Source organism: Homo sapiens, chromosome 4, assembly GCF_000001405.40.
Source record: "Homo sapiens chromosome 4, GRCh38.p14 Primary Assembly".
NCBI classification, from domain to species: Eukaryota; Metazoa; Chordata; class Mammalia; order Primates; family Hominidae; genus Homo; species Homo sapiens.
The window spans coordinates 458,805-482,475 of record NC_000004.12 but is presented as its reverse complement, the minus strand read 5'-3'; the positions used below and the strand labels follow the sequence as shown (position 1 = coordinate 482,475).

At 42.2% G+C, this 23,671-nt stretch overlaps 1 protein-coding gene and 2 pseudogenes across 2 annotated transcripts in view, besides 3 other annotated features; 2 read left to right on the top strand and 1 right to left on the bottom strand.

Annotated features, from left to right (window-relative positions):
- Positions 1-23,671, top strand: part of ZNF721 (zinc finger protein 721) — a 59,169-nt gene that overhangs the window by 16,681 nt on the left and 18,817 nt on the right. Inside the window, exon 2 of the mRNA NM_133474.4 lies at positions 9,775-9,901. Within this exon, the coding sequence (NP_597731.2) occupies positions 9,868-9,901 (34 nt within the window). The 5' untranslated portion in view covers positions 9,775-9,867. The remainder of the gene's footprint in view (positions 1-9,774; positions 9,902-23,671) is intronic.
- Positions 5,372-6,879, bottom strand: LOC100533735 (endogenous retrovirus group FRD member 1, envelope pseudogene; annotated as a pseudogene).
- Positions 8,068-8,287: a silencer, noted in NCBI's record as "silent region_15098". NCBI's record gives its function as "represses an Ori minimal core promoter by ATAC-STARR-seq in GM12878 lymphoblastoid cells {active_cell/tissue: GM12878}" and the evidence as "EXISTENCE:reporter gene assay evidence [ECO:0000049][PMID:35858748]".
- The window catches only part of ABCA11P (ATP binding cassette subfamily A member 11, pseudogene), a 48,775-nt pseudogene continuing 33,370 nt past the window's right edge, over positions 8,267-23,671 (top strand). The window contains exons 1-2 of the transcript NR_002451.2: positions 8,267-8,495; positions 9,775-9,901. The product of NR_002451.2 is annotated as an ATP binding cassette subfamily A member 11, pseudogene (transcript). The remainder of the gene's footprint in view (positions 8,496-9,774; positions 9,902-23,671) is intronic.
- Positions 8,338-8,577: an enhancer, noted in NCBI's record as "active region_21127". NCBI's record gives its function as "activates an Ori minimal core promoter by ATAC-STARR-seq in GM12878 lymphoblastoid cells {active_cell/tissue: GM12878}" and the evidence as "EXISTENCE:reporter gene assay evidence [ECO:0000049][PMID:35858748]".
- Positions 16,669-16,865: a silencer, noted in NCBI's record as "fragment chr4:459400-459596 (GRCh37/hg19 assembly coordinates)". NCBI's record gives its function as "represses an EF-1alpha promoter that drives an FKBP-Casp9 reporter gene in an ReSE screen in HepG2 liver carcinoma cells {active_cell/tissue: HepG2}" and the evidence as "EXISTENCE:reporter gene assay evidence [ECO:0000049][PMID:32094911]".

Sequence of the window (23,671 nt, the reverse complement as noted above, 5' to 3'; positions counted from 1 at the left end):
AAGAAAAATTGGGCCGGGCGCGGTGGCTCATGCTGGTAATCCCAGCACTTTGGGAGGCCGAGGTGGGCGGATCCCCTGAGGTCAGGAGTTTGAGGCCAGCCTGACCAACATGGAGAAACCTCCTCTCTACTAAAAATACAAAAAATTAGCCAGGTGTGGTGGCACATGCCTGTAATCCTAGTGGCTCAGGAGGTTGAGGCAGGAGAATCGTTTGAACCTGGAAGATGGAGGTTGCAGTGAGCCGGGATGGCGCCATTGCACTCCAGCCAGGGCAGCAAGACCAAAACTCCATTTCAAAAAAGGAAAATCGACCTCAGATAAAATAACAAATCAAAATGCATGTGCAATATGCGACCTGTGGGAGCATTTCATCAACAATGTCTCACAGTCATATGTGACCTTTACTGACTCGCCCAAAATTCGGTCATTTATACACCAAGTGCACATAAATTTCATAGTTTCCTATTAAAATTATATATAATGCCTTTATAAAATCTAACTCAGTTTTCTGATCAAATTAAGTAACATTTTATATGACGTTTTAAGTTCTGTTTATATTAAACTTACATAATTTTATTAGGCAGCGTATGCGTGTCTACTACCAAATATTCTTTTGAGTTCCAGCATTTGCACAGGCACCACAGCTGAGAAGCACAGATTCTGGGTGTTTGTCTGTGAGACTGAGCCAAAGGTGGACGCTGTGTTCAACTGCTGAAGGGCATTTTTACTGCCTTCCTGACTTGACAGTGAAACACTTAAAAAGATAATGGAATGGATGTTAACTCCTGTCAAATAGATCACTTGCAATTTCTTCCTTATGTGGAGGTTGCAATGAGCTGAGATCATGCCACTGGACTCCAGCCTTGGCGACAGAGGGAGACTGTCAAAAAAAAAAAAAAAGAAAGAAAAGAACAAAGATGTGTCTTCTGAAACACAACAGCCAGAAGTGAATAACTTGATTTTTAATAAATGGACCAAGGTCTTCAAAGACATTTCCCAAAGGAAGCTATGCAAATGGCCAAGAGACATTTGAAAAAATAATCAAAATTAGTTTTTGAGAGAAATGGAAAGCACAATCCCAGTGAGCTCTTACCTCTTACCCATTAGGATGGCCACTATTCAACACAAAAAGGGAGTCAATGTTGTCAAGGATACAGAGCATTTGGAACCCCCATGCACTGTTGGTGGAAGAGAATAATGCAGCCCCCAAGAAAATTGGGATGGAGATTTCTCAAAATATTAAAAATAAAATGCCTCTGGGTGTGGTGGCTCTGGCCTGTAATTCCAACACTTTGGGAGGTTGAGATAGGATAATTACTTGAGCTCAGGAGTTTGGGTCCAGCCTGAGCAACATAGTGAGACCCCATCTCTACAAAAAATACAAAAATCAGCCAGGTGTGGTGGCCTGTGTCTGTAGTCCCAGTTACTTGGATGGCTGAGTTGGGAGGATTGTTTGAGCCCAGGATGTCAAGGCTGCAGTGACCATTATCACACCACTGCACTCCAGCCTGTGTGGAAAAGTAAGATGCTATCAGAAAAATGAAATTGTCATACAATCCAGCAATTCCATTTCTGGGTATCTATGTATGCAAAGCAGGAGCTGGAATGGACATTTGCACACACATGTGTATAACAGCATTCCCCCCCCCCCCACAAAAGGTGAAAGCTACTTAAAAGTTTCTTGATAGATAAATGGATAAAGAAGATGTGGCATATGCATGCAGTGGAATACGGCTCTACCTTCCGAAAGCAAATTATGCACATGCTACAGAAAGTATAAAACTTTAGGACATTCAGTGAAACATGCCAGAAACAAAGTGACAAAGCTCATATAATTCCATTTATACGAGCTATCTCAAGTAGTCAAACTTACAGAAACAGGAAGTAGAATGATGTATTTCATAAGCTGGAGAGAGAGTAAAAGGGGCAGTTAATGCTTCAGGGGTATTTAGTTTCAGCTTTGTAAGATGTGAAAGTTCTAGAGGTTTGCTGCAATGTAAATATACTTAGCACTACTAAACTGTACACATTAAAAAATAAAAGATGACCAATGTTTTGAGTTTTTCTGACAGTTAAAAATTTGTGAAATAAGTACTTAAGAGTCAGCATAAGAAAGTGTTCCTAAATTCAAATTACAAAAGTGTTTTGCTCCCACAAAATCACTTAGATTCATCCAAAAGCACATAGTGAAATTAATATTCTTTTTATGACTACTTGACTCAACAGGGTAAAACAACCTTCAGCACAAGCCAAGAACAGAAATAGACAAGATAAGCCATGCAGAAAGTTGGGGTTATGTTTTTAGAGGAAGACAAATACATGCATAATGTGATTGGTGATGAATATGGCATATTCCTATTTTAATTCAGCCCCACATTGACTTAAAGTGTTTCTGTAGAGTTCCAAATTGACATCCTGAATCACTGACATCCAAAATCACCATACCCAGGTGAAACCAAACACACAATACACTGACACCAAGAAACCTACCATAAAAAAAATACGAAATTACCAAACAAGAATGAGAAAAGCATTCACCCAAACAATCCTGTATACAACCTAGACCTACTACTGAAAAAGAATCCCCATAGATTTCCAAATGGATATGTGCACACATGAAGGGCAGATGTTTTAAATCAGAACTGTTTGAAAAAGGTGCCTCAGAGAGCAAGCACCTCCACTCTCAGGAAGACACTGGCACAATCCTCTGGCTTCACAGACCACAAGGCCACATGGAGCATTGGTGGCACATGGGGTGGGACAGCAGGAGCACTGCTTCTGGAGTTTTGGAGGGCAACTGCAGGCTCCGGTGTAGGCCCCAGCCTCTGGCACACTGGTGCATGCCAACAAAGGAGCCCTCAGGCCATCACCCCTCTCATCAGGGCCCTTGCATCTGTCACTGTTGTAATCTGTGCCTGCAGCCCCCTGGTCCCTGAACGTCCTGTTCTCCAGGAGGCACATAGCTTTGCTTCCAGCCTCCACACCTTCTTATTTCACCTGTGCAGGATATAGGGATCTGTGCTGTTTCTGTGCCTCTAGGGATCCATGTGCCCAACCATGAGAATAAGGAGGAGGTGTTCTGGGGGAGCCAGAGGCAGTGGCTGGCTGAGGGCTGGGTGACAGGACCACCACGTGCATGATGTCATGGGTGGTAGGGCAGGCAGGGCTGGCTGCTTCCCGGGCAAGGAAGTCAGAAGATCCAATGGTTTCCACCATCCCCACACTCTAACCAGGGTTGCCAGGGGGAGATCTAAACACATTCGTGACTGTGTGCTACAGAAATGGAAGAAGCAGCAGCTTCATCTTGGAGTTGCATGGCTGTTATCGTGACCAAGCAATGGGGAAAGGGCTGACTCTCCAACAAAAGGTATTTAAAAACTCAATATTGAAATTTTTAAAAATTAACTTGGGCCGGGCGCGGTGGTTCACACCTGTAATCCCAGCACTTTGAGAGGCCGAGGTGGGCAGATCACCTTAGGAGTTTGGGACCAGCCTGGCCAACACGGTGAAACCCTGTCTCTACTAAAAATACAAAAAAATTAGCCTGGCATGGTGGTGGGTGCCTGTAATCCCAGCTACTCGGAAGGCTGAGGCAGGAGAATCGCTTGAACCCGGGAGGCAGAGGTTGCAGCGAGCTGAGATCGTGCCACTGCACTCCAGCCTGGGCGACAAAGTGAGACTCCCATCTCAAAAAAAAAAAAAAAATCAGACCTTTCCTTTGCACAATGTACAAAACATTACTTATCTATTTATGTATGCGTAGCAGGAACTGGAAATGACATTTGCACACCCATGTTCATAAACAGTATTATTCCAAAATCAAAAGTTGGAAGCTACTTACATAACCCTTGACATATAAATGGATTTTTAAAATGGAATGTACATGCAATGGAAAATCTATTTTATAAAAGGAAATTATGTCACATGCTATTATAAAGATAAACCTTGAGGGCTAGGTGTGATGACTCATGCCTGTAATCCACATAACTGGGAAAGTTAAAAAAATGAGAGAGGAGAGAGAATCTCTTGAGGCAAACAGTTCAAGATCAACCTGGACAACACAGGGAGAGTGCATCTCTATAGAAAAGGGGTAAATCTTTACAACATGTAAAGAGAAATATGCAAAAAAAACAAAGTAACAGCGAGTATATACTTTCATTTATGTGAAATATTTTTAGTAGTCTACTCATAAAAACAGAAAGTAGAATGGTGTTTGTCAAGAGCTGAGGGAGGAGGAACACGTTACCAAGAAGTGCAAGGTCCTTAATTTTTGTCTTCTTGAGAGAAATAATTCAGCCAAGAGGCAATTTAATGAAACAAGCAGAGAGTTTATTAAAGGAAAATAAAGTACACTACAAGAGGAGTCGGCTGGTCCAGTTGAAAACTGCCCTGAGAGTTCCGTGTTGCAGTTTTTATTATCTTGCATTTTAAAAAAATTTCCACATCGGTCTTAAGTGTCTGCCTTTGTCTTTGTCTAGGTTCCTGCTTCTGTGGTAAATCTTTGCCTTTGTCCCCACTTAGTTTCTGCCCAGGTCTGTGAGATGCTTCCTTATTGTCAGCTGACATACATGCATGGGTTCCTGTGATCTATAGCAGTCCTATCTAATGGCAGCATTGCTTATTACTATCACCCCAGGAAGGTCATATAGCGGTCAAATCCATATTTATTGTGCCCGCATATCTCTTAGGGGTGTATCAGGGTGTTCTTTCTTTATAGGTATTTCCCCTCCTCTCTGCTCAAATTTAGCATGCATGTTTTGTTTGGTCTTTGGAGCATGAAATTTTCTTTCCCCAGGGGCTCTTTTTTCTGCTCATTTTAAACTATCGGCTTACTCTAACATTCCCTCCTCAATAGGTTGAGACTAAAAATCTTCGAGTCTAGGGGCACTGTGGGTCTTCTGTAACTACTTCCTGGTGATATGAGATAACTCATTAATGCGCCGGGCACGGTGGCTCATGCCTGTAATCCCAGCACTTTGGGAGGCCGAGGCAGGCGGATCACGAGGTCCGGGGATCAAGACCATCCTGGCTAACATGGTGAGACCCCGTCTCTACTAAAAATACAAAAAAATTAGCTGGGTGTGTTGGCTGGCGCCTGTAGTCCCAGCTACTTGGGAGGCTGAGGCAGGAGAATGGCATGAACCCAGGAGGCGGAGCTTGCAGTGAGCCCATACAGAGTGAGACGAGACTCTGTCTCCAAAAAAAAAAAAAAAAAAAAAAAGGAACTCACCAGTGTCTCATTCTCTTGCTCTTTGTCAGGGAAAGATACTTTCCATGTTTTCCCAGAAGGTTTGACTTGCAGTGTCAGAGGAAATGTGGAGGAAGATGGTTGTCCAGAAGGGAGGAAAATAGATCAATATTCCTGTTGCAGGACCACTTGTAGTCTGAGGTCAGAGAAGACAAACCTGGTTAGTAGATTTAGTGAACAAGGCCCAAAAAGGAGTGAGGAAAAACAAACAAGAAAAAGGCCAGAGATCCCAAGAAAATGAGATGCCATGAGAATTGGAACCAGGTGGCACCCTGGGAGAACTAGCTCTCAGTGGCGTGTTTAGGATGGCTTAGTTTATAAGATCTCTAACTTAATTCTGGACTTTCCCTAAGCTGTTAACCCAGAAACAGCATTTTTCTCCTAAAATAAGGCAAATTCCTTTGTGAGCTGCAGCCAGTGTGTCAAGACTTCTACAATTTTGGAGAACTACAACCATGAGAGAATCAAATTGCTGCTGTAACTTAGAGTTGGAGCAGTGGTTTCTATTTTGTGAGTCAGTTCCTGAGACAGGCTGTGGTAAGCTGAGGAGGCAATAATAATGCCAGCTATTTCTGTGGTGGCACTTGTGGTGCCAAGCTCATTGCGGAAAGAAATTAGATCAACTGCTCAGTCGATCTGGTGTGGGTAAATAAGTGTTAATTATTGTTAAATGGTGTGGTAAATAAGGGTAATAGCAGAGAAGCATCACCTGGGACAATGGAAACTTAAGGGGTGAGGTAAGCCAGAATGTTTGTTCTGGTCCAGTTTGCAGGGAGGCAGAGATAAGCCTGCATTTCCCAGAGGAAGTAAAGTTCTGCAGTTGAAAAACAAGAATGAATTCAGGAGGTAAGTTCAGATTCAAACATTGACCAGTGTCCTTGCTGGCTACCCAATATATGATATTCTGCCAATACAGTTGCTGCTATCAGGGGAGCCAGACATGGGTGATTAGTTTGAGTAGGACAATGGGTCCTATTTTCTTAGAAGACCATGTGTCTAGTAGTATCAAGGAGAAGGGTTTTCTGGAAGGAATGAAAGACTTGAAACTTATTGCATAATCCATACTGGCTTGGTCAATACCATGAGTTGGATTGACTGCAAGAAGGGTGACTGAAGCAGAATTCAGTGGTATCATTTTGGATGAATGGTCCAGGAGTTAAAATATTTAAAGGGCCCAGAGAATCTCATTTGGTATTGGGAATATTTCATGAAAGTAAAAAAAAGTTTGAGAAGTATCAATAATGGTGCTGTTTGTGTTGCATTGTGCTCAGTCAAATACACCCACATGGATTCTGGAATTTATGGTAGCATAGATGTATAGAGGAATCAGGTCAATAAGGGTAACGGGAGAACAAGGGGCTTAAAACGGTGGGGGTGGGCTTAAGAAAATCTTTAAAGGCTGCTTTAGCTTGTGTTAGAAATAGCACGTTAGTAGGGGGAAGCTTTGGTATAGTGAGGTCTCGGTGGTAGTTGAAGCTATATTGGGACTAAGAGGTTGGCCATTCTTGTACTATGACCAAGTAGGACATTCCTACCCTGAATGAAGAGGAATTCATGCATAGCTAACAGGTTGAGGCATAGGAAGAATTGGTAGACTTTAGTAGTTGTGGAGCTGCCTATAGAGTGCTAAAAAAAGGTTGTTGACAATTAGTGCATATGAAGGTGATTTTAGCCAGAAGTATGAGTAATGACCATAGAGCATTAGGTTGCATAGTTCCACAGAAAGTAGATTAGGACCAAAGTGAGATGCTTGCTGATTAAGAGATACTGTGAACACAATGAGTATTAGAGAGAGAGATCAATACTCAGATTATGACTTTGAGGTTTAAATCTAGGAGGGGCATAGCAAACACTTCCCTGTAGAGGGTGATGGTTTACAGTAAAAAAAAATATTAGTAAGTCTGCAAAGAGTATTATGACTTGTAATATAAAGGCCAAAATATTACTAACAATTGCTGATGAACTAAGGCAGTCAAAAGTAAAATAACTAAATAATTAGGCTAAAAAAATTCATATTAGATAAAGCTAGCTTTTTTTTTTTGAGACGGAGTCTGGCTCTGTCACCCAGCCTGGAGAGCAGTGACGCCATCTCAACTAACAAGAAGCTCCGTCTCCTGGGTTCACGCCATTCTCCTGCCTCAGCCTCCCGAGTAGCTGGGACTACAGGCGCCCCCCACCACGCCCGGCTAATTTTTGTATTTTGAATAGAGACGGGGTTTCACCGTGTTAGCCAGGATGGTCTCGATCTCCGGACCTCGTGATCCACCCGCCCCGGCCTCCCAAAGTGCTAGGATTACAGGCGTGAGCCACTGCGCCCGGCCAACATTTTATTCATTTATTTGTTTATTTTTTGAGACGGAGTCTCACTCTGTCGCCCAGGCTGGAGTGCAGTGGCGCGATCTCAGCTCACTGCAACCTCCACCCCCCAGGTTCAAGCGATTCTCCTGTCTCAGCTTCATGAGTAGCTGGGATTACAGGCGCCCACCACCATGCCTGGCTAATTTTTATATTTTTTAGTAGAGACGGGGTTTCACCATCTTGGCCAGGCTGGTCTTGAACTCCTCACCCCGTGATCCCCCCACCTCGGCCTCCCAAAGCTTTGGGATTACTGGCGTGAGCAACCGTGCTCAGCCTAACATTTTATTTTTTAGAGGTTTGCTTTCCTCTTCAAATCTCAGGTGTCCTACTCAAAACACCACAGGCCAGAAAGGTTATGAAATGTAAAATATTAAAATAATTGTCACTATATTGTTTCCATTTGTGAACAAGTGTGTCTGTGTGTGTGCGCGCGCGCGTGCACAATTTATAAATTGACGTAACGTTACACACCAGAAGGTTAAAATGAACCCTGTGCAGAGCCAAGCCTAGCACAGAGATTAAGCGCCGCCTGAAAGTGCCTGGAGGTACTAGTCTGTCACTCTTGCCTCATTCAGTGCATTGTATGGTCACAATTTCTGTCATTCAAAGCCTGAGGGCGTGAAGCCTGGACCCATATCCAATCAGAGCGCTTGACTGAGAACTGCCCAATCAGGCGCGCAGTCTGAGAGGAGGGGGCGGCATCCGGGATCTTCGGCGGCCTTGGCCTGTTGCTTCAGCCTGAGCTCGGTTAGGGCCTCACTTCCCTGCTTCCACACCTCAGGGAGGCCTCGGTGATTTTGCCAGAGCCTCAGCCTCCATCGCTCTGTAACCTGCGGGTATTGGATGATTCGTAGCTAAGACTTCGCGACACCCTTGAAGCTGAGAAATGGTGAGTGTGCGGGGCAGGGCGTCCCAAGGCTGGGGAGGCCTCATCAGAACCGGCGGCAAATGGCGGCGGCGGGACTGAGTCTGCGAACGGAGTCCCCGCTGCCGCCGCTTAGCCCTCGGTCCTCAGTCCCCTCCGGTGAGGGACCCGCGCTCCTGTCGGGGTCCCCGCAAGGCTGCTCTGGCCCAGCCTGCAGCCCTCCTTGTGCAGCTCTGCGCCGCAACCCTGCACCTTCCCCGGGCTGTGGGGTGAGGAGAAGCTCATCGGGAAGACGCCAGGTGCGGCGTGCGCAGGTACCGCGTAGGAGGAGCTGTGGTCCAGGGGTCCTGTCCCTACTTTACGGAATGAGATCGAGGCCCCATCAAAACATAGAGTTCATGTGAGCAAACGGGGACTCATTAATGGGGCAGCGCCGGCTGTGGCTCGTGGCTTGGGGGCTGCCAGCGGGTCTTGAAAAAAAAGACTTTTGTGAGGTGTGTGAGGAAGTGAAGCGAATCACCAGCCCGCCCCAACTTTCCCACCAGTCCCCTTGCCCTGTGCGCCTCCTCCGCGTGGCTGCTCCCGAGTGGCATCAGGATGATGATTGGTGGTCTTGTCTTGGGATGAAAAGCGTTTGTGTTGGGGTAAGGGACTCTGTGTGCTGTGTCTGCTTTCTCTAGCCGAGTAGTACTATAATGGGTCCAGGTGGAGGAGCATCACCGTTAACAGGAGACTTGATAAAAGACGCTAACTCATGGACTCTTTTCAAACCTGCAAAATTTTGGTACAGTGAGGCCTTTAACATCAAATAATTGATATGCGCATTGAAGCTTGAGAGACAGTGCTTAGCTAAGTGACTCTCAGCCCAGTCTTCCCGTAGTGAAGTGAAATCATCACCTGTGCCCTCCCCTCACATCCTGTCTATTGTTCTGGGTGGAAACATTTCTGTTTTTTAAATTAAGTTCCTCGCATATTATAGCAAGGCCAAGGTCAAGCATGAGGACTTCCAGATATTTTCATGAGAGGTGAGTTCAACCTGTTTTCCAGGAGGTCACAGGGCCTACTCTGCTTGGTTTTGGTAGGGGCAGGTCAGTGTAGCCCATTATTTTTATTGCAGGAACAGAAACTGTTGGAATGCCTTCCTTTTTCCGCAGAGCTATAGAATACTTTAGAGAACATTACTGTGTTGAAAGTTGTTTTATCAGATAATCCCAGTCAGTCACATGTCAGAACTGGTTCTCTTAACACATTTCACCTGTAGTCAAATTAAGAACTCTGTCACTTGATACATATGTATTTTCAGGAACCCTTAACATTCAGGGATGTGGCCATAGAATTCTCTCCAGAAGAGTGGAAATGCCTGGACCCTGCCCAGCAGAATTTGTATAGAGATGTGATGTTGGAGAACTACAGAAACCTGGTCTCCCTAGGTGAGGATAACTTTAATGCATAATTCCTAATACTCCCTCTGAGTTTTATTTTCTATTTTTGTAGAATGTCTTTTGAGATATATCTATATAAAAATGTGTGTCTCACACACACAGCTATGTAAGTTATATATGTGTATAGTAAATTCTTAACATTGTTGATAGATTCTCAGAAACTGTAAGTGAAGCAACATATCATTTAGGAAAATGAATTTTAGGGCTGGGTGCAGTGGCTCACGCCTGTAATCCCAGCACTTTGGGAGGCTGAGGTGGGCAGATCAGGAGGTCAGGAGTTTGAGACCAGCCTTGCCAACATGGCAAAACCCTGTCTCTACTAAAAATACAAAAAACTAGCTGGGCATGGTGGCAGGTGCCTGTAATCCAGCTACTTGGGAGGCTTAGGCGGAGAATCACTTGAACCTGGGAGGCAGAGGTTGCAGTGAGCCGAGATTGCGCCATTGAACTCCTGTCTGGGAGACAAGAGCAAAACTCCGTCTCAAAAAAACCAAAAAACAAAAAATAATAATTTTAGCAAAGTTTAATTGATACAAACGAGTTATGTTTGGTATATAGCAACATTGCTTCATATAAAGTTGCAGTTTTCAAGAACCTGTTTTGAACATTAAGTGAGGACTTACTCTTCATCTGTGTTTGTGTGACATGGATTTTTCTGTTAAATAAAAATTGTTTAACTATATTTAATGTGTACAATGTAATGATTTGATATGCATATATTTTGTAATATATGCATATATTTTATTGTAAAGTAAAATATAATCAAGTTGATCAACATATCTATTACCTCATATAGATCATGATTTTTTTGGTAATAAGAACACTTAAGGCCTAGTGTCCTAGCAAATTGTAAGCATACATTACAGTATTATTAATTATAAATGGAATACTGTTTTGCTAATCTAATGCTAATGTACATTAGCATTAGGTTTCTCCTTAGGTTTCTCCTTATTCAACTTATTCAACTTATAACTAAAAATTTATACTCTTTGAACATCTCATATTCCCACCCTTAGGCACTAACAATCGCCATTCTACTTTCTGCTTTTATGAGTTTACATTTTTAGATTTACCCGTCTATGTAAAAAGAAGCAGTTTCTTTGTCTGTCTGTGTTTGGCTAATTTCATTTAGCATCATGTCCTCCAAGTCTATCCATGTTGTAAAAGACTAGATTTTCTTTTCTCTTATGGCTGAATAATATTCTACTGTGTATATATACACTCTATATTTTGGCTATTGTAAAAATACTACAATGAACATGGGGCTGAAGATATTTCTTCAAGGTGTTAATTTAATTTCCTTTGGTAGTATGACCAGAAGTGGTATTGCTGGATTATATGATATGTCCATTTTTATTTTTTACTGGTTTTTATGATGATTTTATCAATTTACATCTCACTAACAGCATACAGCATATACCTTGTATGTATGTCTTTGGGAAAAAAAATCTAACCTTTTGCCCATTTTTGAATGGGTTATCATCATTATTATTGTTTTGCTTTGAATTGCAGAAGTTTCTTAAACATTTTGGATATGGATATTAACTTCTTTTTTTTTTTTTTTGAGACAGAGTCTTCCTCTGTCACCAGGCTACAGTGCAGTGGCATGATCTCAGCTCACTGCTAACTCCGCCTCCTGGGTTCAAGCAATTCTCCTGCCTTAGCCTCCCGAGTAGCTGTGATTCCTGGTGCACACCACCACACCCAGCTAAGTTTTGTATTTTTTAGTAGAGGTGGGGTTTCACCATGTTGGCCAGGATGGTCTCGATCTCTTGGCCTCCCAAATTGCTGGAATTACAGGTGTGAGCTGCTGCGCCCAGCCTTCTATTTTATTTTATTTTATTTTTTGAGACACAGTTTTGCTCTTGTTGCCCGGGCTGGAGTACAGTAGCATGATCTCGGCTCACTGCAATCTCTGCCTCCTGGGTTCAAGCGATTCTTCTGCCTCAGCCTCCCAAGTAGCTGGGAATTACAGGCATGCACCACTAGACTTGGCTAATTTTGTATTTTTAGTAGAGATGGGGTTTCTCTATGTTGGTCAGGCCGGTCTCGATCTTCTGACCTCAAGTGATCCTCCCGCCTTGTTCTCCCAAAATTAACTTGTTATCAGGTATATCGCTTGCAAATATTTCTATCCTGTAGAGTTTTTAGAAATTTTGTTTCTCTTTGCTGTGAAGAAGCAGTTTACTTTGATACAATCCCACTTGTTTGTATTTTTTGTTGTTGCTTTGCTTTTGATGGCATATCAAAAAATTATTGCCAAGACCAGTATCAAGGTTTTTCCATATGTTTTGTTCAGGAGTTCTAAGGTTTTTGTCTTACGTGTAAGTGTTTCATTTTGAGTTAATTTTGGGGTATGGTATAAGACAATGATCTACTTTTGCCAGGCACAGTGGCTCACGCCTGTAATCCCAGCACTTTGGGAGGCAGAGGCAGGTGGATCACGAGGTCGGGAGATGGAGACCATCCTGGCTAACGTGGTGAAACCCTGTCTCTACTAAAAATACAAAAAATTAGCTGGGCATGGTGGCGGATGCCTGTAGTCCTAGCTACTCGGGAGGCTGAGGCAGGAGAATGGCGTGAACCCGGGAGGCGGGAGCTTGCAGTGAGCCGAGATGGCGCCACTGCACTCCAGTCTGGGCAACAGAACGAGACCATCTCAAAAAAAAAGTTCTACTTTTATTCTTTTGTTTGTGGCTCTCCAGTTTTTCTAGCACCATGTATTGACAAGACTATAATTTCTGAATTGTATATTCATGATCCCCTTGCCAAAATTCGTTGACCTTGTATGCATGGATTTGTTTCTGGGCTCTCTATTCTGTTCATTGGTTTTTGTATGTGTGTTTATGCACATGCCATACTCTTTTGCTTACTACAACCTTTACATAAAGTTTAAAATTAAGAAGTATGATGCCCCTAGCTTTGTTCTTTCTCACGATGGCTCAGATTATTTAAAGTTGTTTAAGGTTACACTTAAATTTTACAATTGTGTTTTCTATTACTGTGAAAAATGACACTAAAATTTTGATAGGGATCGCGTTTGAATCTACAAATCACTTTCGATAATATACTTTGACAATATTAGTGATCCTAATGAAATATGTGTTTGTGTCTGCTTCAATTTCTGTCATTATTGTATTTAGTGTATACATTTATTGTTATACACTAGATTTTGTGCTTTATTGTATTTAATGTATAAATTTTTTATTTCATTTGTTAAATTTATTTTGAATTTCTTATTTTTATAGTATTGTAAATTGAATTTTTTTCTTTTTTTTGGGAAATTTTGTTGTTACTTTATGGAAATGAAACAAATATTTGTATGTTGGGGCAGGTGTAGTGGTTCATTTTTGTAATCCCAGCACTTTCAGAGGCCAAGGCATGTGGATCACTTGAGCACAGGAGTTTGAGATGAGCCTGGGCCTCAGAGTGAGACCATGTTTCAAAAACACACAAAAAAACAACCTGCAAGTATTTACATGTTGGTTATGTATCCTGATACCTTAATGAATGCATTTATTAGTTCAGTTTTTGTTATTCTACTCTAGGGTTTCATATATATGCATGATCATATTATCTACAAACAGTAACATTTTTTCTTCTTTTGCAGGCAGGAGAGCTTTGTTCTCCTTTTTCTTGCCTAATTGTTCTGATACAAACTTTTGGTAATAATGTTAAGATAGAAGCTGTGGTCCTGGAGGCATGCTTGCAGATCTTGGCTTCAGCTGTGGTCCCTGAAGCAGCCCTGTGTCTGTATATTTTAAGGATTTAACAATGATTACAGTTTGTATAATCTGTTTTTTGACAGGTAAACATCTCCTTTTGTTGGGTCCCCAGGCTGATGAGATTACCTCTGGGGTTGCAGAGAAGAAGGGTTGTAGCTGAGTCTCAAGGGTGCTGCTGGGTCTGCTGTGTGGCCTGCCTTTGAGGGTTGTGTTACCAGAGATTTAGACAGTCACAGATTCTTTCTGGGCCCTGGAAAGATTAGATTTCCTTGAGGACATTAATCTATATGGCAGGCAGTAGGATTGGGTTTTGAAATTTGTCTGCATATGATGGCCCAAATACCAGGTGTATAAATGGGTTTAGCTTTTACTGACTACCTGGGAACAGTTTTTTTTTTTCTTTTTTTTGTGACGGAATCTGGTTCTGTCGCCCAGGCTGGAGTGTAGTGCCATGAACTTGGCTCACTGCAACCTCCGCCTCCCAGGTTCAAGCGATTCTCCTGCCTCAGCCTCCCAACTAGCTGGGAGTACAGGCGCTTCCATCACACCCAGCTAATTTTTTTTTTTTTTTGAGTCGGAGTCTCACTCTGTCACCCAGGCTGGAGTGCAGTGGTGCTATCTCAGCTCACTGCAAGCTCCGCCTGCTGGGTTCATGCCATTCTCCTGCCTCAGCCCCCCAAGTAGCTGGGACTAAAGGCGCCCGTCACCGTGCCAGGCTAATTTTTTGTATTTTTAATAGAGACAGGGTTTCACCGCGGTCTCGATCTCCTGACCTCGTGATCCGCCCGCCTCGGCCTCCCAAAGTGCTGGGATTACAGGTGTGAGCCACCGCACCCGGCACGCTCAGCTAATTTTTTGTATTTTTAGTAGAGACGGGGTTTCACTGTGTTAGCCAGGCTGGTCTTGATCTCCTGACCTCCTGATTTGCCCGCCTCGGCCTCCCAAAGTGCTGGGCTTACAGGCGTGAGCCACCGCGCCCAGCCCCTGGGAACAGTTTTTATAGGTCTCTCTGTGGGCCTCTGAGTGTGTACGAGTGGCCACGGACTGTGACTACAAATGGCTTGAACTGAGTCACAGGGCTGCTTCAAGGAGCACAACTGAGGCCAGGATCTGCAGGCCTGCCTCCAGGGTCATGGCTGGGTGTGTCTTCCTGCAGGTCTCTTGATGGGAAGGACCATTTCTGGACTACAGCTGAGATTGAGAACTGCTTCATAATCCTCAGTAAGACCAAGCTGCATGCACCATTTTCTTGTCTGTAGCCATGTCTATGGGCTCTGGAGTTGGCCACCTGGGTGAGGGCCTGCTTTTTCCAAATAACCCTTCCTTGGTCTTTGACTCCACTGAGGTTTCACAACCCTAACTATAGGCAAGCACCATTCTACTTATGTTTTCTAGGAATTTACTACTTAAAATATCTTATGTAAGTGGAATCATACATTGTCACTTTGTTAGTGTCTTATTAAATAATGGTGTCTAAATAGTGTCTTATTAAAATAATGGCTTTAAGATTTATCCTTATTGTATGATCCGACAAGATATTTTCATTTGATTCTAAAGAATTTTTCATTGTATGTGTAAGCCATGTAAGCCACATCCTTTTTTGTTTGTTTGTTTTTTTTTTGAGATGGAGTCTTGCTCTGTCACCCAGGCTGGAGTGCAGTGGCGCAATCTCGGCTCACTGCAAGCTCCACCTCCTGGTTTCACACCATTCTCCTGCGTCAGCCTCCAGCTGGGACTACAGGTACCTGCCACCACGCCCGGCTAATTTTTTTTTTGTATTTTTAGTAGAGACGGGGTTTCACCGTGTTAGCCAGGATGATCTCTATCTCCTGACCTTGTGATCTGCCTGCCTTGGCCTCCCAAAGTGCTGGGATTACAGGCGTGAGCCACCGCGCCCGGCCAAGCCGCATCCTTTTAAATTATTCATCTGTTGAAGGATGTTTGAGGTTTTTCACTTTTTGGCTTTTGTAAGTAATATGGTTTGGATCTGTGGCGCCATTCAAATCTCACATCAAATTGTAAGCCTGAATGTTGTAGGTGGGGCCTGGTGGGAGGTGACTGGATTATATGGTTGGATTCTCATGAATCATTTAATACCATTGCCTTTGGTACTCTCTTTGCCATAATGAGTGATTTCTCCTGAGATGTCACTTTCTTTCTTTGTTTTTTTGATATCTCATCCATCGCAGTTTAATCTACAAATGAAATTTCTACAGAAACAGGAACTATTTTAAGAAAGAAAAAAATCCCTCATTCAGACTTCTTTGGTAGTGGTAATGGCTGCAAATTTGCAGCATTTAGAAAACTACACTATCAACAAGCTTTCCTTTATGAACTGAGATGTACAAAATGTAGAAAGCAGATGAAAGTGAATTATTTCTTCAACATTTTAGTAAAACTTCTGATAATCAGAGTTCAAAGCACATAACAACTCAAGCATAAATGAAGATGGAGAGCCTGGGGAGTTTGATTTCTTAAATTTTCCAAAAAGGTATTATTGCAAACATATAGGATTTCCCCCCATTTTAACCTTACCAGTTTCAAAGGAAAGTAAAGGTACTGGATTACATGAAGACAGCATGTGTGCGAGTGCACACGCATGCAGGGTGGCAGGTAGAGTGTCTTAATTCCTTTTTCTTACTACCCAAGTCTCACTTCACAGAAATCATTAGGTAAAGGAAAACCAACGAGGAGTTCTGCAGTTTTCTTTTAATAACTGAGGCTGAGGCAGGAGAATCGCTTCAACCCTGGAGGTGGAGGTTGCAGTGAGCCAAGATTGTGCCACTGCATTCCAGCCTGAGCGATAGAGTGAGACTCCACCTCAAAAAAAAAAAAAAAGAAAAGAAAAACGACAACAAAAAAGATAAAAGGCAGAGAAATAACTTATGACTACCATTTTGTTCATTGTTTTCTGACCATGTAGTAGTTTCTGTTTTTTAATCCTTTCATGCTGTCTTCCCTTGTGTAGTGTTGAGTTGTTTTGTTTCTATTGTTATATGCTTTGGTTTCCTTTTTTGTGTGTGTATCTACTACAGTTTTGTTTTGTTTTTTTTTTGTAATTTCCAAGAGACATAAAATATCTCATAATTATAAAAGCGTAGCTTGGCCAGGCACAGTGGCTCACGCCTGTAATCCCAGCACTTTGGGAGGCCGATCACGAGGCCGATCATGAGGTCAGGAGATCGAGACCATCCTGGCTAACATGGTGGAAACCCATCTCTACTAAAAATACAAAAAAATTAGCCGGGCATGGTGGTGGATGCCTGTAGTCCCAGCTACTTGGGAGGCTGAGGCAGGAGAATGGCGTGAACCCAGGGCGCGGAGCTTGCAGTAAGCCGAGATGGCACCACTGCACTCCAGCCTGGGCGACAGAGTGAGACTCCGTCTCAAAAAAAAAAAAAACAAAAAACAAAAGCCTAGCTTAAGATAACAATCTAACTTCTTTTTTATTCACATAGGGTCTTGCTTTGTTTCCCAGGCTGTAGTGCAGTGGTGCATTCACAGCTCAGTTCGGCCTCAACTCTCCAATATCAAACAATTTTCCCATCTCAGCCTCCCAAGTAGCTGGGAATACAAGTACACGCCACCAGGTCCAGCTAAGTTTTTTGGTATTTTTTTGTAGAGACAGGGTTTTGCTATGTTGCTCAGGCTGGTCTTGAATTCCTAGGCTCCAGAAATCCACCTGCCATGGCCTCCCAAAGTGCTAGGTTTACAGGCATGTATCATCAGGCCCAGCTGCTGTTTTTTTTTTTTTTAATGGAATCTTGCTCTATCACCCAGGCGGGAGTCCAGTGGCACGATCTTGGCTCACCACAACCTCCGTCTCCTGGGTTCAAGCAATTCTTCTGCCTCAGCCTCCCGAGTAGCTGAGACTGCAGGCACCTGCCACCACACCTGGCCAATTTTTTTTTTTTGTATTTTTAGTAGAGACAGGGTTTCACTGTGTTAGCCATGATGGTTTCGATCTCCTGACCTCGTGATCCTCCCGCCTCGGCCTCCCAAAGTGCTGGGATTACAGGCGTGAGCCACCGCGCCCAGCCCCAGCTGCTGCTTTTTAAAAAAAGACTAAATAGCATTCTGAAATCTTTATTTTATTTTATTCCTGTATTTATTTTAGAGACAGGGTCCTGCTATATTGACCAACTGGTTTTGAACTCCTGGCCTCAAGCAAAAGTTAACCTCTATGTATAAAAATATTAAACAGTTTTACTCCCTTCAACACACTATTTATGTCACACTTTACATCTTTTTATATTACATTATTATGTACCATTAACAGATTATTGAAGCTATATGCTTTATTCACTCTTTCATTTTTTTCTTTTTTAATTAGGAACTTTCAAATGACTTTTTTTTTTTTTTTTTTTTTGAGGTGGAGTCTCGCTCTGTAGCCCAGGCTGGAGTGCAGTGGTGTGATCTCGGCTCACTGCAATCTCTGCCTCCCAAGTTCAAGCGATTCTCCTGCCTCAGCCCCCAAGTAGCTAGGATTACAGGCACCTGCCACCATGTCCAGCCAATTTTTGTATTTTTAGTAGAGATGGGTTTCACCATGTTGGCCAGGCTGGTCTTGAACCCCTGACCTCAGGTGATACACCCGCCTTGGCCTCCCAAAGTGCTGGGATTACAGGTGTGCGCAACCGCACCCAGCCTCAAATGACTTTAAAGTTTGCTGATTTTATCCTGTGTATAATTGAGTCTCCTTGTTAAAGCTTTCTGTTAAAATTTTTTAGTTCTACTATTGTGTGCTTCAGCATATCTCCTTGGTTCCTTCTTAATGATTTCTCTTTATTATAATTGATTTTCTTCATACATTGTTGCAAAAAATTTAGTAATCTTTGTACTTTTGCATCTTATCGAGATTTTTTAAGATAATTATTTTGAATTCTCTGTTAGCCATTTTTTTCATCTGTATTAGCAATTTATTTTTTATTATTATGCTCTAAGTTCTGAGGTATATGTGTAGAATGTGCAGGTTTGTTACATAGGTATACACATGCCATGGTGGTTTGCTGCACCCATCAACCCGTCATCTACATTAGGTATTTCTCCTAATGCTATCCCTCCCCTAGCCCCCTCATTCCCTTACAAGTCCCGGTGTGTGATGTTTCCCTTGGTGTGTCCATGTGTTCTCATTGTTCAACTCCCACTTAGGAGTGAGAACATGCGATGTTTGGTTTCCTGTCTTTGTGTTAGTTTGCTGAGAATGATGGTTTCCAGCTTCATCCATGTCCCTGCATAGGACATGAACTCATCCTTTTTTATGGCTCCATAGCATTCCATGGTGTATATGTGCCACATTTTCTTTATCCAGTCTACCATTGATGGGCATTTGGGTTGGTTCCAAATCTTTGCTACTGTAAACAGTGCTGCAATAAAAATACGTGTTCATGTGTCTTTGTAGTAGAATGATTTATAATCCTTTGGGTATATATCCAGTAATGGGATTATGGGGTCAAATGGTATTTCTGGGTCTAGATCCTTGAGGAATCGCCACACTGTCTTCCACAATGATTGAACTAACTTACACTCCCACCAACAGTGTAAAAGCATTCCTATTTCTCCACATCCTCTCCAGCACCTATTGTTTCCTGACTTCTTAATGATTGCCATTCTAACTGGCATAAGATGGTATCTTATTGTGGTTTTGATTTGCATTTCTCTAACGACCAGTGACGATGAGCTTTTTCTCATATGTTTGTTGGCCACATAAATGTCTTCTTTTGAGAACTGTCTGTTCATATCCTTTGCCCACTTTTTGATGGGGTGGTTTGGTTTTCTCTTGTAAATTTGTTTAAGTTCTTTGTAGTTTCTGGATATTATTCCTTTGTCAGATGGGTAGATTGCAAAAAAATTTTCTCCCATTCTGTAGGTTGCCTGTTCACTCTGATGATAACTTCTTTTGCTGTGCAGAAGCTCTTTAGTTTAATTAGGTCCCTTTTGTCAATTTTGGCTTTTGTTGCCATTGCTTTTGGTGTTTTAGTCATGAAGTCTTTGCCCATGCCCGTGTCCTGAATGGTATTGCCTAGGTTTTCTTCTAGGGTTTTTATGATTTTAGGCCTTACATTTACGTCTTTAATCCATCTTGAGTTAATTGTTGTATAAGGTGTAAGGAAGGGGTCCAGTTTCAGTTTTCTGCATATGGCTAGCCAGTTTTCCCAACACCATTTATTAAATAGGGAATCCTTTCCCTGTTGCTTGTTTTTGTCAGGTTTGTCGAAGATCAGATGGTTGTAGATGTGTGGTGTTATTTCTGAGGCATCTGTTCTGTTCCATTGGTCTGTATCTCTGTTTTGGTATCAGTACCATGCTGTTTTGGTTCCTGTAGCCTTGTAGTATAGTTTGAAGTCAGGTATCTTGATGCCTCCAGCTTTGTTCTTTCTGCTTAGGATTGTCTTGACTATATGGGCTATTTTTGGTTCCATATGAAATTTAAAGTAGTTTTCTCCAATTCTGTGAAGAAAGTCAGTGGTAGCTTGATGGGAATAGCATTGAATCTATAAATTACTTTGGGCAGTATGGCCATTTCATGATAATTGATTCTTCCTATCCATGAGCATGGAATGTTTTTCCATTTGTTTGTGTCCTCTTATTTCCTTGAGCAGTGGTTTGTAGTTCTCCTTGAAGAGGTCTTTTACATCCCTTGTAAATTGTATTCCTAGGTATTTTATTCTTTTTGTAGCAGTTGTGAATGGGAGTTCACTCATGATTTGGCTCTCTGTTTGTCTATTATTGGTATATAGGAATGTTGTGATTTTTACAAATCAGTTTTGTATCCTGAGACTGCTGAAGTTGCATATCAGCTTAAGGAGATTTTGGGCTGAGACGATTGGGTTTTCTAAATATACAATCATGTCATCTGCAAACAGAGACAATTTGACTTCCTGTCTTCCTATTTGAATACCCTTTCTTTCTTTCTCTTGCCTAATTGCCTTGGCCAGAATTTCCAATACTATTTTTATTTTTTTGAGATGGAGTCTTGCTTTGTCACCTAGGTTGGAGTGCAGTGGCGTGATCTTGGCTCACTGCAACCTCCATCTCCTGGGTTCATGCAATTCTCCTGCCTCAGCCTCCCGAGTAGCTGGGATTACAGGCATGTGCCACCACGCCTGGCTAAGTTTTGTATTTTTGGTAGAGACAGGGTTTCACCATATTGGTCAGGCTGGTCTTGAACTCCTGACCTCAAGTGATCCACCCACCTCAGCCTCCCAAAGTGCTGGGATTACAGGCATGAGCCACCACACCCGGCTTTCCAATACTATTTTGAGTAGGAGTGGTGAGAGAGGGCATCCTTGTCTTGTCCCAGTTTTCAAAGGGAATGCTTCCAGCTTTTGCCCATTCAGTATAATATTGGCTGTGTTTGTCATAAATAGCTCTTATTATTTTGAGATACATTCCATCAGTACCTAGTTGATTGAGAGTTTTTAGCATGAAGGGGTGTTGAATTTTATTGAAGGCCCTTTCTGCATCTATTGAGATAATCATGTGGTTTTTGTCATCGGTTCTGTTTATGTAATTGATTACATTTATTGATTGGCGTATGTTGAACTAGTGTTTCATGCTAGGGATGAAGCTGAGTTGATCATGGCGGATAAGCTTTTTGATGCGCTGCTGGATTCATTTGGTTTGCCAGTATTTTATTGAGGATTTTCACATCGATGTTCATCGGGGATATTGGCCTGAAATTTTTTCTTTTGTTGTGTCTCTGCCAGGCTTTGTTATCAGGATGATGCTGGCCTCATAAAATGAGTTAGGGAGGAGTCCCTCTTTTTCTATTATTTGGAATAGTTTCAGAAGGCATGGTACCAGCTCGCTCCCCTTTGTACCGTTAGTAGAATTTGGCTGTGAATCCATCTGGTCCTGGCTTTTTTTGGTTGGTAGGCTATTAATTACTGCCTCAATTTCAGAACTTGTTACTGGTCTATTCAGGGGTTCAACTTCTTCCTGGTTAAGTCTTGGGAGGGTGTATGTGTCCAGGAATTTATCCATTTCTTCTGGATTTTCTAGTTTATTTGCGTAGAGTTGTTTATCGTATTCTCTGATGGTAGTTTGTTGCTGTGGGATCAGTGTTGATATCCCCTTTATCATTTTTCATTGTGTCTATTTGATTCTTCTCTCTTTTCTTCTTTGGTAGTGTTGCTAGTGGTCTATCTATTTTGTTGATCTTTTCAAAAAACCTCCTCCTGGATTTGTTGATTTTTTTTTTTTTTTTTGAAAGGGTCTTTCGTGTCTCTATTTCCTCCAGTTCTGCTCTGATCTTAGTTATTTCTTGTCTTCTGCTAGCTTTTGAATTTGTTTGCACCTGCTTCTCTAGTTCTTTTAATTGTGATGATAAGGTGTCAATTTTAGGTCTTTTCTGCTTTCTTTTGTGGGCATTTAGTGGTATAGATTTCCCTCCAAAGACTGCTTTGGCTGTGTACCAGAGATTCTAGTAGGTTGTGTCTTTGTTCTCATTGGTTTCAAAGAACTTATTTATTTCTACCTTAATTTCGTTATTTACCCAGTAGTCATTCAGGAGCAAGTTGTTCAGTTTCCATGTAGTTGTGCAGTTTTGAGTTTCTTAATCCTGAGTCCTAATTTGATTGCACTGTTGTCTGAGAGACTGTTATAATTTTCTTTCTTCTGCATTTGCTGAAGTGTGTTTTACTTCCAGTTATGTGGTCAACTTTAGATTAAGTGCGATGTGGTGCCGAGAATAATGTATGTTCTATTGATTTGGGGTGGAGAGTTCTGTCGATGTCTATTACGTCTGCTTGGTCCAGAGGTGAGTTCAAGTCCTGAATATCCTTGTTAATTTTCTGTCTCATTGATCTAATATTGACAGTGGGGTGTTAAAGTCTCCCATTATTATTGTGTGAGAGTCTAAGTCTCTTTGTGGGTCTCTAAAAACTTGCTTTATGAATCTGGGTGCTCCTGTATTGGGTGCATATATATTTAGGATAGTTATCTCTTCTTGTTGCATTCATCCCTTTACCATTAGGTAATGCCCCCTCCCCCACCTTTTTTTTTTGAGACGGAGTCTTGCTCTCTTGCCCAGGCTGGAGTGTAGTGGCACAATCTCAGCTCACTGGAAGCTCTGCCTCCTGGGTTCACGCCATTCTCCTGCCTCAGCCTCCTGAGTAGCTGGGACTACAGGCGCCCGCCACCACGCCCGGCTAATTTTTTGTATTTTTAGTAGAGACGGGGTTTCACCATGTTAACCACGGATGGTCTTGATCTCCTGACCTCGTGATCTGTCCACCTCGGCCTCTCAAAGTGCTGGGAGTTACAGGTGTGAGCCACTGCACCTGACCCCTTCTGTTTTTTATCTTTGTTGGTTTAAAGTCTGTTTTATCAGAGACTAGGATTGCAACTGCTGCTTTTTTTTTTGCTTTCCATTTGCTTGGTAAATATTCCTCCCTCCCTTTATTTTGAGCCTGTGTTTGTCTTTGCACATGAGATGGGTCTCCTCAATATAGCACACTGATGGGTCTTGACTCTAATTTTCCAGTCTGTGTCTTTTAATTGGGGCATTTAGCCGTTTTACATTTAAGATTAATATTGTTACATGTAAATTTGATACTGTCATTATGATGCTAGCTGGTTATTTTGCCCATTAGTTGGTGCAGTTTCTTCATAGTGTTGATGGTCTTTACAGTTTGGTATGTTTTTGCAGAGGGTGGTACCGGTTTTTCTTTTTCATATGTCCATCCTTCAAGAGCTCTTCTAAGGCAGGCCTGGTGGTGACAATCTCTCAGCATTTGCTTGTTTGTAAAGGATTTTATTTTTCCTTCGCTTATGAAGCTTGGTTTGGCTGGATATGAAATTCTGGGTTGAAAATTATTTTCTTTAAGAATGTTGAATATTGGCCCCCACTTTCTTCTGGCTTGTAGGGTTTCTGCAGAGAGATCTGCTGTTAGTCTGATGGGCTTCCCTTTGTGGGTAACCTGACCTTTCTCTCTGGCTGCCCTGAACATTTTCTGTTAGGCATTTTTTAGATCTGTTTTTTTTTTCTTTAGACGGAGTCTTGCTCTGTCACCCAGGCTGGAGTGCAGTG